This window comes from Homo sapiens, chromosome X, assembly GCF_000001405.40.
Source record: "Homo sapiens chromosome X, GRCh38.p14 Primary Assembly".
In the NCBI taxonomy this organism is placed as follows: Eukaryota; Metazoa; Chordata; class Mammalia; order Primates; family Hominidae; genus Homo; species Homo sapiens.
Genome location: NC_000023.11, coordinates 107532434 through 107546373, shown reverse-complemented (window position 1 = coordinate 107546373; position 13940 = coordinate 107532434). Strand labels below are relative to the sequence as shown.

General features: G+C 43.3%; 1 protein-coding gene and 1 long non-coding RNA gene across 9 annotated transcripts in view; one reads left to right on the top strand and one right to left on the bottom strand.

Annotated features, from left to right (window-relative positions):
* FRMPD3 (FERM and PDZ domain containing 3) overlaps positions 1-13940 on the bottom strand; it is a 155600-nt gene that overhangs the window by 58878 nt on the left and 82782 nt on the right. For 3 of the 8 annotated variants that reach the window (NM_001388459.1, NM_032428.2, XM_017029902.3), the window contains 2 exons: positions 12824-12869; positions 533-637 (listed from right to left, as the gene is read on the bottom strand). The exons of 1 other annotated variant lie outside the window; for it this stretch is intronic. In NM_001388459.1, coding sequence (NP_001375388.1) covers positions 533-637; positions 12824-12869 — 151 coding nt within the window. Of the gene's footprint in view, positions 1-97; positions 220-532; positions 638-12823; positions 12870-13940 lie in introns of those variants that run through there. 4 more of the 8 variants (XM_011531056.4, XM_011531057.4, XM_011531058.4 and 1 more) reach the window with 2 other exon arrangements.
* The window catches only part of FRMPD3-AS1 (FRMPD3 antisense RNA 1), a 32839-nt gene continuing 19451 nt past the window's right edge, over positions 553-13940 (top strand). The window contains exon 1 of the long non-coding RNA NR_046750.1: positions 553-659. This is a non-coding gene — a long non-coding RNA (FRMPD3 antisense RNA 1). The remainder of the gene's footprint in view (positions 660-13940) is intronic.

The window sequence follows — 13940 nt, the reverse complement described above, 5'->3', positions numbered from 1 at the left end:
TGCCTCCCCTCTGGTGCTAAGAACATAGCAGGTGCCTAATAAAAACTTGGTGACTTAATGAGAGTCTGTATCATTTCCTTTAGGCAACTTTACTCACCACTGCATGGCCTTTTCTGGTCAAGATGTGGAGTTGCAAGATCACTTAAATGTGAAGAGAGCTCAATTTCACCAGCCACTCATTCCCTGAGTCTTCAGGAAGCCATTATTTCCTTCCTGTTTCTATCAAGTAGCAAAAGATGTTTATGGAGCACTTGCTTTGAGTGTAAGCTACTGTGTTAGGGATGGAAATTTCTCTAAGCATCAGAAGGATCTTGAGTGAATCAATATATATTCCTTCTCCCCACAATGCCTGGGGCCTCTCTGGATGTCACGTATCCCTCTTCACTCACTACTTTTCCCCCTCCAGCACCTGGACGCTCCCACTCTAACCCATTCGGAAAGCTGTCCACTATAAGAAGCCCCAGAGCGAGAGCTTGACAGCCAGGCAGATTATGGCCAGGGGCTGAGGAGAGGGAGCCAAAGCTACACTTACTGCATCTGTTTCTCCAACTGCCACCTGCTCAGAAAATCGAACCTTCACAGGATTGGACCTCAACTTGGCCTTCTTCGCAGCACTGATGAAAGCAGATTTGGGGGACTGGAAAAAGAACAGAGAGATGGTGAGTTCTCCATATCTAGGGAAAGCCTAACCTTTGTCACGTCAGAGTTAAGATGTCCCAGTACAGGTACACTTTGCATTACTGATCAAGGAGTCAATAAACAAATATTAATTACCTATTAGTTGCAAGGCAATGTGCTAAATGCTTCCCTATGTAATTGGTGTGTTCTGAAACAGCTGGGCATGAATTGAATTTGGGTAGATTGAACCCCATTATTAATACTCTAGGCCTAGGGGAGTTTGCAAAAGTTCTTTAGTAATAACATACATTGAGTTTTTATATATTTGGTTTTCTTACAGTGAGATAGACCTAAAGGGTGTCTTTTTATTATTATTATTATATCTGAATATAAGCATCCCAAATAATTTACAGAAATGATCTTGTTCACCTCACAGACATGTCCTGCCCCTAGGAAGGAGTTGCATAATAAATACTATTTTAGATGTGGGAGAAAGGAGACCTAGCACTCCAAAAGGATTTATCCACAGTTACTACACTATTGGGGAATAGAGATGTGAGAGATTTAACCCAAGTCTTCTGGCTTTCTAGTTTTGGGCTCTGCACCACTTTGTTTATCCAATTCTGTAAGAAATGCCCAAAAAATCAGCCAGGCTTGTATTTATTTATTTATTTTTAGACGGAGTTTCACTCTTGTCGCCTAGGCTGGAGTGCAATGGTGCAATCTCGGCTCACTGCAACCTCCGCTCCCTGGGTTCAAGCGATTCTCCAGCCTTGCCTCCTGAGTAGCTGGGATTACAGTCATGTGCCACCACACCCAGCTAATTTTGTATTTTTAGTAGAGATGGGGTCTCACCATGTTGGCCAGGCTGGTCTTGAACTCCTGACCTTAGGTGATCCACCTGCCTCAGCCTCCCAAAGTACTGGGCTTACAGGCCACCATGCCTGGCTGGCTTTTTAGTTCTTGAAAACTCTCCCACAATTTTATCAGAAGCATGATTAGCAAACACTGGAAACTAAGCCTTTCCTGGGTGCCCCTTGGATTCTAGCTCCCTGCTGAGCTCTGTAAGGCCCAGCAATTAGGAATACAGGAGTCGTGCTGAGGGGCATCCTCATTGTCTTTGGGGGGGCGTTTATTCATTCTTTTGACAAATTTAGCAAGGGCCTACTACATGCCACACACTGTTCTAGGTGATGAGGGATAGAGCAGTGAATAAGACAGACAAAACTCCCTGGCCTCATGGAGCATCCATTCCAGCAGGAATAGACAGACGATAAATATCTTTTAGGTAGCAAAGAAGGACTTTGAGGAAAAATAAGGCAGGGTAAAGGACTACACAAGAGAATGAGTGAGTTAGAGTGGGAGTAGTGAGGGTATTATTTTAGCAATTTTGAAATACATAATACATTATTATTAACTATAGTCATCATGCTGTGCAATAGATCTCAAAAACTTATTCCTCCTGTCTAACTGAGCCTTTGTATCCTTTGAACAGCATCTCCCCACTCCCTCCCAACCTTAGCCTCTAGTGATCACCATTCTATGCTCCACTTCTATGATTTTGACTTTTTTAGATTCCGCATGTAAGTGAGATCATGTGGTATTTGTCTTTCTGTGTCTGGCTTATAATAATTATTATTATTATTTCACTTAGGATAATGTCTTCCAAGTTCATCCATGTTGTAGCAAATGACAGGATTTACTTCTTCTTAAAGACTGAATAGTATTCCACTGTGTATTTATACCACATTTTCTTCATCCATTCATCTGTTGATGGCAGACACTTAGGTTGTTTCCCTATCTTGGCTATGGTGAATAGTGCTGCCACGAACATGGGAATGCAGATGGCTCTTTGGCATACTAATTTCAATTCCCTTGGATATATATCCACAAGTAGGATTGTGCGGGTTATATTTTTAATTTTTTTTTTTTTTTTTTCTGAGAAGGAGTCTTGCTCTGTCGCCCAGGCTAGAGTGCAGTGGTGCGATCTCGGCTCACTGCAACCTCTGTCTCCGCGGTTCAAGTGATTCCCCTGCCTCAGTCTCCCGAGTAGCTGGGATTACAGGCAGGCATCACCATGCCCAGCTAATTTTTGTATTTTTGGTAGAGACGGGGTTTCACCATGTTGGCCAGGCTGGTCTCGAACTACTGACCTCAAGTGATCCACCCACTTCGGCCTCCCAAAGTGCTGGGATACAGGTATGAGCCACGGCGCCCGGCCACTGGGGGAGGTTATTTTAGACAGGATGGTCAGGGAAGACCTCTCTGAGGATGAGACATTAAGCAGAAACTTAAGGAAGTGAGGGAGAGACAGCCACCAGGTTATCTGGAGAAAGGCTTCTGGGCAGAAACTACAGTAAAGGCCCTGAAGTGAATTGAGGTGTATGAAGAACAGCAAGGAAGGCCAAGGTGGCTGGAGTGGCGTGATGGAGGGGGAGCAAGAGGGGAGATGCTCAGAGAGGCAGCTGGGGGCTGGGTCATGTAGGACCTTGTAAACCACGGTGAGAACTTTGGATTTCACTCCACTAGAGGGATTTGATTGAACAGAGTCTGATGTGCATTTTAAAAGGAAGCCTCTGGTTGCTGTGTGGAAAACAGAGTGTAGAAGGGCAATGGCAAGAGCATGGAGACCAGTTGGGGGTCTCTAAGTACAATATTTGTAACTGCAATAATATGGTTAAAACATAATGGAGGCTTGGGCTAGGATGGTACTGATGGAGTTGAAAAGTGAATGAATTCTGGATATATTTTGAATACTGAATTAGGATGATATGTTGACTGATTGGATATGAGAGTGAGAAAAAGAGAGACTTCAACTGAAAGAATGGACTTGCCATTTACTGAGATGAAGAGGACTAGGGAGTGAATCAGGTTTGGGGCTACTTCAAACCACCACCCCTATGGGCCTTGCCATGGAGCCTGAGTCCTACAATCAGGAATTTCTTTGTGTTAAGGCCCTGAAGGTCCCTGCCAGCTGGGAATACGTTAAGCTATTATCTACCATTTACACTGCAGTTGAGATTCATTTACCCAATCAGCCACAGGAGGGCAGGGCCCTAAGATACACATCAGAAACAAACGTCCTCATTGTGTCTTGGGCCCTGGTCCCAGCTGGCTCTGTCAGAGCCAGCAATCTCATTCCCACAGAGGGGAGATTGCAAAAAACCACTTCTTTCACCTGAGTCCAGCAGGAACTCAGGCAGTGAGTGTCAGTCCTGGCTGCATAGTAGAAATGCTGGGAGGAGCTTTTAAAAATCCTGAAGCCCAGGGCCCACCACAGACCAATTACATCAGAATTCCTGGGGGTGAGGTCTGAGCATCAGTATTTTTTTCAAGCTTCTGATGATTTCCAAATGCAGCCAAGATTAAGAACCATTGAGCTAAAGGAACCTTAGACTTCTCATCCTGAGCCAAAGGGGCAATTTGTTGGCAGCAGACAATATAGCACAATGAAATCCAGAGCTGGAGATCACTGCAGAAAGTGATTACAGTATTGATTATACATGGAGTTGATAAATGCCTTTGTGTGTTGCACAGCCTGGTGCTCCAATCCTGAGCAGGGGCTGCAGGCTGAGGCAGAAGCAAGAGAAAGGGGCAAGATAGAAAGATCTGTAGCTATGCTCAGGCAGCTGTGTTTGATTCCATCTCCACAGTCATCCAAAGTTCCACCAAGGTGCCACAAACATGAGGCAAGTGGAATCTTTCTACCTGACAGTCACCTCTCTTCTCTGCCATCATCTGCCCTCAGATGCCTGCATGGCACAGTGTGTAGAACGAGGCATCTCTAGAGACCTGAATGGGCCATGCAGCTCAACCTTCATTTTTCACATGTGAAACAGAAGCCTGGGAAGAGGATATACTTTACCCAAAGTATTGAAATAATTGAGTAGCAGAGCCGAAACCAGAACCCAGGTTTCCTGAGCCTTTGCTTAGTGGTTGTTCCCCCACAGCAGGCTAAAGCTGGGAGTCCTTTCCTGATCTTTCATCCACTGGTTCTGGTTCTACCTTGGTGTTATGTAATGGACTCAAACAAATGAAGAACCCCAACTGGTATCCTTTTATGTATTCACCACAGTGAAGAGGGTGGCATCCTTGCTATCCCTACCAAAGATGCAAGATTAGATCCTGTCCTAGAGAGTTTCTGTTTGTACCACTGAAAACCAAAGATTCAGTTAATTATAGGCACAAACCACAAAGGAGGAAATGAAATTGCCAATATTTTCAGGGATTATAATCATTTCCAGGTGTCTGTTTCAGAGTTATTTTCAGCTTGTTTATACTTCAGTCCTCATTGACCCTTGTCCTGTTGGTCTCTAAGATTCCATCCTATTCTCAGTCTTCAGCCTTGATGCTGGTGACTCATTCATTGCCAGCTGGTCTGTGCTAGATGTCATGGAGTCACATCTAGCCTTATGCTCAGACACAGGTGAGGCCTGCTTTGCAGTGTGATATGAGGAGCCTCTCAGAGGCCTCCGTGTCCCAAAGCATCTTCAAAGCTCAGCTCTGGGGCTTGAAGTTCGTAATATTAGGGGCACTCCTTTGAATTACAATGTTGAGAATTGGGAAGGCCCGGGTCAAAATGTGAATGCGGTAGCAGGAAGGCATAATACACTTCAGGGGCCAGCAAATTACAGGCCTACATAGGCCAAATCTTGCTCACCACCTGTTTTTGTAAATAAAGCTTTACTGGAACACAGCCGTGATCTTCATTTATGTATTGCCTATGGCTGCTTTTGTGCTACCACATATGGCCTGCAAAGCCTAAAATACTTATTATATGGCCCTTCAGAGAAACAGTTTGCCAACCTCTGCACTAATTCATAACCATGCACTAACCAGCTGTTTTTAAAACGTGCCTGATGATAAGAATCACTGAGGAGTGCTTGTTAAAGCACAGATGCCTAGGCTCACACCAGATTTTAAAAGTTAGAATCTCTGGAAGAGTGGGGCCCAGAAATTGACATTGTTGAAGAGATCCCAATCCATTAAGCATAGATTAATTGAGCACCTTAAGGCTGGAATGTTTGAGCTCTTCACTGACCCTATTTTTTTCTCCAAGCAGCTGGGAATCTCACTTTGCAACAGGCACCCTTTCTGGCTAAAATGAATTTTGGCTTGAAACATGGGACTAGAATTGCTAAGTACCTCTGGGGCCACTGCAAGCTGCTTGAAGCAAATATGAAGCCAGCAGCTTGGTGGAATAAGGAATAGAAGAGAGTCTGCCTTTCCCTCAGTGCAGAATTCAGCAGCTGGTTATTTTTTGACCATTTTTTAAATTTGTTGTCTGTATTAGTACAGATGTCAGGGTTGTGATCACTCAAATCTTGACCAAAGTCAGATATAGGGCCAAATATTTTAGAACAAGATAGGGCCCCGCTTTGGTAACTGAAAAAAAACGAAACTCAGCTTCTTGAAGCTTTGACTGATTTGCCCTTCTGGCTACACTGCCTTTGACACCTGAGCCTACTTATAACCAATTCCTATAGCAACCACTGTGGGAGCCTAGGACAATGGAGGACCATCCTGGTTTCACCAGATCACTACTAGGGGAACCAGGGGGCCTTCCTTCCCACACTCAAGACTGCCTGGACATGAACATATCCTCTGCCTGACTTCCAAAGCCCGCCACAAACTACACCTGACTCTCTAACCACCTCTCTCCAAGATCACCTTTTGCTGCACTTGGTAGTTCTATCCACAGCTCCCTGCACACACTGGGCTTGTTATCATTCCTGGACCCACCTCACGCTGTTTCCTCCCTGTCCCCATCCTTCAGGGTCTAGAGTGTCCCTTTGACTAGCTAAATGCCATCACTTTACAGCTTAGTTCAAACTCTACCTTTATCCTCAATCCTTCCCCAACTCCTCAATTCCCCTTCTTGGATTTCCTATAGTACTCCTGTTAATCCACACTGCCATTGCTCACATCCCCAACCAGGCTGTATAAGCAGAGATGCCATTTTATGTTAATATGTCTCCCCCTAGTACCAAGCACATAGTAGACATGGCATAAAATATATTAGTTGATTGCTAAAATTAGTAATGAATTAGTTCATTAATTCAGCATATATGGTTGGAGTATCTACCATCTGACAAACACTATACGTCAGGAAGCTCTGTAGAAAACCAGTTTCTCTGAGGTGGTTCCCATTATTTTGGCTTTCTTTTTCTGGGCAGGTGGCTCCAAGCAGAAGGGATTCCAGTTCTTTAAGTACAGGCTGTTTTCAGAACCAGAAAACTGGGTTTCATTTGAAACAGATTGTCTGTACTTGCTTTATCAGGGTCATTCTTGGTCATAATCCGGTACTTTATCCGTTTAAAAATATTTACTGAGTGCCTACTGTGTGCCAAGGTCTAAAGATTTCAAGATTAATAAATATCCAGTCAGTCATGAGGACTAGTTGGTAATTCAAAGATTAAGGAATACCCTTAAGTACACAGAAGCTTATTAAGTGGCTATCTATGCAGTATGGTTTGAGGGGCCCTGGGAAAGAACTCCTGTGACCCCTCTCCCCAATTGTCTGCCATGCTATGAGTCACTCTTACAAGGAAAATGTCATCTGAGAGAGACTCCATATCAGAATCATTTGGTGAGCCTTTTCAAAAGACCAATACCAGGGCCTCATCTCCAGAGCTTCTAATTCAATGAGTCAGGGCAAGAGCCCAAGTATCAATATTTTCATGTTTTCTTTTTTTTTTTCTGTCTCTGCTGCTCGAATGAATCAGAAGTGACTATTAATAGTTTTCAGAGCTTCTCAGATGGTTATAATGGATAAACAGGGTCAAGAACCATTACCAGGCCAGGTGTGGTGGCTCACGCCTGTAATCCCAGTACTTTGGGAGGCCAAGGCGGGCAGATTACTTGAGGTCAGGGATTCGAGACCAGCCTGGCCAACATGGCGAAACATCGTCTCTACTAAAAATGCAAAAATTAGCCGGTGTAGTGGCACATGCCTGTAATTCCAGCTCCTCGGGGGCTGAGGCAGGAGAGTCACTTGAACCCAGGAGGTAAAGGTTGCAGTGAGCTGAGATGGCACCACTGCACTCCAGACTGGATAATAGAGTGAGACTCTATATATATAAAATAAAATTACCAGCCACAGTATGTAGGAGTAGGTATTAGGCCATTATCAGCCACATAATGTAGGAGCTATTAATAGAAGGAGACTTGCAGATTGTCTGGTCCAGTGGTTTTTTTTTTTTTTTTTTTTTTTTTAACAAATATAGATTCCTAGGCCACATCCTGGACCTATTAGGAGGTTGTCTTCTGGAAGTAGTGGTAATCAAACTTTAACATGACAAGAGTTCTGTAATAGGTAGCAGTCTCCTTGCACCCATGAGATGCCAAGTGCCTGCTGTGAACACAGTAGTATTTTCTGTGATGTAGGGGGTATAACATTAAACACATATTGGGGGTCTTCAAGAAGCTTTCAGTATAGCTAAAGAGAGAAGATCTGTCAATGGAGACTTGTTAAGGTGGTTACGTTCTATGACATTTCCATAAACACTGAATTAGTGAATACTGAACTGTTGCTCCAATATTTCACATAAATTATGGTGTTAAAATGTAAAAACAACTCATCCTAGTAGCTTCTATGTTCTTTATTTTACAAAGAGAAAATGAAGTTCAAAAGTGTTAAGTGACTTGCCTGAGGCCACTCCACTCACAGGTGCCAGAGTCAAGATTCAAACCCCGTCCAACTGGCCCCAGAACTGCAGTTTCTTTCTTGCACTACACTGCACTGCCCCCTATCGTCTTCATCCTCTGATTACCTCTGTATGAGATCTGACACAAGAAGGCAGAGCATCACCTTGTCCGACCTCGGCTGGGAACGTGTGCATGGGGTAAATCAAAATTTTCACACTCTGCACATGTCTGCAAATGACCAGGAAAGTGCCGTGATTATTGATTTTGGGGGTTATAAATAAATTTTTGGGAGTAGGCAAATTTGCAAATAGGGAATCTGCAAATAATGAGGATCGACTGCACATGTAGGTAAGGCTGACATTCAATTGGCATGCACTGGGATGGCCATACCAGTTGTAAAATACAGAGAGATTCTTTCACACTGATTGGTAAATAGGCACTGCCCTATGCTTCCTGGATGCCACCTGACCTCTCCCCCTGGACCTCCTTACAAACGTAGATCAACTACAGGGTTAACATCTGGCACAACTAGGAGGCCTTCAAGATTCTGCTCCGGTGTTATTACTGGCTTATATTTTGACTGGATTGGCTCCTACTGTACAGGTCATTAAATGTTTTGACAATTAGCCCCGTGTGTGTGTACTCGTCCACTTCTATGCTCCAAGGATTTAGAGAGCACAAGACTGAGAACTAGAATGTAAGCTCTGTGAGGGCAGGGACTATGTTTGTCCTGTGCACTGCTATATTCCCAGCCTAGAAGAGTGTCCAGAATAGTAGGTATTTAATAAATGCTTGATGAGTGAATGAAAAAATTAGGGAAATGCTCATTGAGATTAGTCAGGCAAAGCTGTTTGGAGAACATGAGTATCAAACAAGGTCTTAAAAGAAACAGACATGTATTAGAAGAGATGTGGAATAGCAAAAGGACAAAAGTCCACGGGGCAGTAAGACCTAAGAAGGAAATGTACCTAAGAAGGAGAAGGAAATCAGCCTGGCCGCAGCAAAGGGGCCATGGGTTGGGACCTGCAGAGTAAGCAGAACAGGGGGTAAGAAAATGTTGGAGGCACTGGGATGGGAAAGTCGAGATAGAGATTGGGGTGAGTGTTACGCCCTTTATTCTGCACCTAAGTTTGGACACTTGAGTTTTGTTTAGGTTGCTTTGTTGGCTAGAAACTGGGTTTCCTTCCTTCCGTCAACCAATATTTATTAGCACCTACTCTGTGCCAGGTGCTGGGGATACAGCAGTAACAAAACACAGTCTCTACCCTCATGGAGCTGACATTCTAATGAGGGACAGAGACAATAAACATGTAAATATAATATCTCATGGGAATGTAAAATGGCACCGCCACTTTGAAAAACAGTCTGGCAGTTTTTTAATAGGCTAAATATACACTTACTATTTGATCCAGCAATCGTACTCTTGGGCATTTATCTCAGAGAAATGAAAACTTATGCCCACAAAAATCCTGTACACAAATATTATAGCAGCTTTATTTGTAGTAGTTCAAAACTGGAAACAACCCAATGCCCTTCAACGGGTACATGATTAAACAAACTGGTACATCCACACCATGGAATACCATGGGTACTACTCAGCAATAAAACGGAACAAAATATTGATACATGCAACAAGTTGGATGAATCTCGAGGACATTTTGCTAAGAGGACATTTTGCTAAGTGAAGAAAGTCAATCCCCAAAGGTTACATATTATATAATTATATTTATATATTATTTTTGCTTGTTTTTTAGAGAAGTGGCCTCGCTCTATTGCCCAGGCTGGAGTACAGTGGTGCTATCATAGCTCAAAGCAGTCTCCAACACCTGGGCTCAAGCAATCCTCCTGCCTCAGCCTCTCAAGTAGCTGGGACTACAGGTGTGCCCTACCACACCTAGCTAAATTAAAAAGAAAATTTTTAGAGACGAGGTCTCATTCTATGTTGTTCAGGCTGATCTCAAATTCCTGACCTCAAGTGATCCTCCCATCTCAGCCTCCTAAGTAGCTGAAATTCCAGACAGGAGCCACAGTGCCTTGCTTCCATTTATATAATATTTTTGAAATAAAATTAGGGAAATGTAAAGTGGTTGACAGGGATTGGGTGTAGGCGGTGAAGTGAGTGTGGTTATAAAAGGACAACACGAGGAATCCTTTGGGTGACAGACTTGTCCAGTGATTTTTTTAAGTTTTAAATTTTTGTGAGTACATAGTAGATATATGTATGTCTAGGGCACATAAGATACTTTGACACAGGCATGCAACGTATAATAACAATATTATGGTAAATGGGGTATCTTTACTGTGTTGGTGGAGACATAAACCCACATGTGATAAATTCATATTGAATCATATACATACGTTGTGTCATTGTTGATTTCCTGGTTTTGCTATTGCACATAGTTTTTGTTCTGTTTTGCCTTTTTTTTTTTTTTTTTTGAGATGGAGTCTCGCTCTGTCACCCAGGCTGGAGTGCAGTGGTGCAATCTCAGCTCACTGCAACCTCTGCCTCCCAGGTTCAAATGATTCTCGTGCCTTAGCCTCCTTTGTAGCTGGGACTACAGGTGCGTTCCACCATCCCAGCCTAATTTTTTTTGTATTTTGTGTAGGGACAGGATTTCACCATGTTGGCCAGGCTGGTCTCGAACTCCTGGCCTCAAGTGATCAACCTGCCTCGGCCTCCCAAAGTGCTGGGATTACAGGTGTGAGCCACTGCACCCAGCCTATTGCACATAGTTATGTAAGATATAACCACTGGGAGAAACAGGGTAACAGTACATGGTATATCTCTGTACTATCGTTGCAACTTCTTGTGATCTACAATTATTTCAAAAGAAAAGTTAAAAAATATAATATTTCAGCTCTGATGAAAAAGTAAGCCATATCAGAAGATAGTGAAGGTAGATGCTATTTTAGAAAGGGTACTCAAGGAAGGCTTCTGCAAGGTGAGATTTGAGAAGAACTGACTAACAAAGTAAACCCACATTGGGTCTCTGATCGCAGTAGTAAATTCTAACCACACATCAAGCATGTTTTAGTGGGAGAACTGGTGGTCATTTTCAAGACAGGAGGTTGGGAGGTTGGGACTGACTGCCTACTGCCCACTAGGCAACTGCACACATGCAGCAAAGTGGTGGGGAGGGGACTATTGGTAACAACAATGGAGTGGTGGGGCTTGCCTGCCCAGAGACAAGAGAACTGGAACTGAGAAAGGCCTATCTGCCTGGGACCATTGTGTGTACATATGTGAGAGAGCACATGAGTGCGTGTATATGTGAGTAGTGTGTGTATATGTATGGGTATGAGTGGGTGAGTGTATGTGTGTGAGTGTACGTGTGAGGATATGTGTGAGTCTATTATGCATGAGGTTGTGAATGAATGTGTGAGTGTATTGTGTGTGTGTGTCAGTGTGTTTGTATATGTGTGTGAGTGTATGAGTGTGTGAGTGAAGTTCACACTGATGCAGAAGAGGTCTGGGAGCTGGGGGCCATGGGGAGAGGCAGTTAGTTTGAACCAAGATTGATTTGAATCTTGCTCTTGCCTGGTGAGCCCATGCTGTGCACCTGTGTTCCATCCCTCGCTGTGTCATCTCTCTATGGAAAATCTTGCCCCATCCCTCAAGGTCCAGCTCAGGTGCAGCCTCCTCCTTGAAGCCTTCCCTGATTTCATGTCCCTCACCCCCAACAGATGTGATCTCTCCTGTGGCTATATATTGAGGGTATGGCATCCATGCTGGGGTGCAGAGGACTGTTGTTGGGGACATTAATAAGGGGACAGGTAGGCTGGAGGTAGAGTGAGGGCTCTGAATTTTGCACATGGAAGTTGTGCACCTGGGTTTGTGCATTTAAGTTAAGATTGCTATAAGGGTACAACTAATAATGGACACTGAACTTTCTAAATCCAACTCTTGAGGAGAGGGGGCTAGAAATTTTTACTTTTAATAAGTAGTCCTGGCAACGATTATGATCAGGCATGTTTAGGTAACACTGTTATACTTTAAATCTCTCAATGTACAGATGATGAAACAGGTCCAGAATGGGGAACTGACTCATTCAAGGTCACACAGCCAGTTAAGTGACTGTACCAGGACAAAAATGAATCTGTTTGTCCAAGGGTACCCCCCAGCAAATTTATATTAAATTCTCTCACATATGGTGCTGTGTCTCATACATTGTAGGTAACTTATATGAATGAATAAGATTGGCACCTATCATCGTCCAGGACTTTATGAGAGTTCACATTGGACAGATACATTTTAATGGAGTACAGCCAAAAAGAAGTGGAAACTGTATTTGGAATTGAGGCAGTGGGCAGCTTAAGTGGGTAAAGAAGAAGGCACAGGACAGAACACAGCACAGCACAGCCCTTCAAAGTCCTCAGCTTTGGACATGAGCAGAGACATGCTGTTCAGAAGGTATTCTTTAAGTTCACTCCTAAATCCTTGGCTCATATGTTGGTTGTAGTCTCTGAACCCCCAACCCCATCACTGTTGCTTTCCAATATGGAAATGTCATCTCTTCTCAGTCAGGAGGAAGGGCAGATGGCAAAGAGGCTCACTCACCTGATGAGTGTGCAGAACTGTAAGAACGATGAATTCCTTAGCGCTCCTACAGAGAAAAGAGGGAATAGGAGAGTAGTGTATCATGCACTAGGTATTCATCTAGTACAAGAAGCAACACCAGAATCTTCCCCTGGCTTTATTCAGGTATATGGATTAGGATAGAGGGCAATCTGAGTGTCTGCATGGACACTTCACCTCCCATCATTTGTGGAGGCTGACACAAACCATCCATATTAATTCACACAGGTATCCGAAGATGGTATAATCATTACCTCTGGGGTTGTCATTTTTTAGGTCTTCTTTTCATATTCCTTCTCACATACTCTCTGTAGAAATCTCCAAACCTTAGTAGCAATTTTATCTGTAGACTACAAAATTCTCAAGGAAAACTAAAAGCCTGCATTATGGAACTCAAAATCAGAGAGTCCTGGGAACCACGTACAATGATTATTGGTAATTTGGTATTTAAGTGAGAAGAGAAATTCAAAGGAAAAACCCAAAGGAGGTCATTTGGTCACCATGACTCATACTCATCAGATTTGTTTTAATTGAGGGACCAAAAAAGAGAGCCAGGGAGCAACAGATGGAAGCCAAAACTCTCCAGATAGCAAATATTCAAAAGAATGAAGAATATGAAACTCTTCTGGCAAGAATTATGCCAGTGATCAAACAGGCTGTGAAGTATGAAAATTCTCTCCCAGGAATACATAATCTTTTAAAAGAACTAAAAGAAATGGAAATAGTTTGCCCTGAAGGAGCTTCCCCTCTCCTTATTGGCCCTTTTCAAATGTTTATGTGAACAAAGTCATTTAAGAAGTAGAGTCAAGCTGCCCTTGATTCTGGATATTCAAGAAATGCCAAGGCCCGCAGCTCAAGAACTTTGAACATCTCCCACATTTGGTGAGGCAAATTACAGGGATTAATCAGCCCCAGGGTTTGGGAAGTTACCAGAAGTAAAGAGTTATTCTCCAGGAAAAATACTAAAGAAAATCCTTTATCTTGAACAGGGAAGGGGCATAACATAAGTTGGATTATGTGACTCGTCTCCTCCAGCCCCTTGCCATGTCTCCCCATTTCATTTATAACAAAGCCACAGTCCCTATGGTGGCTTCAAAGG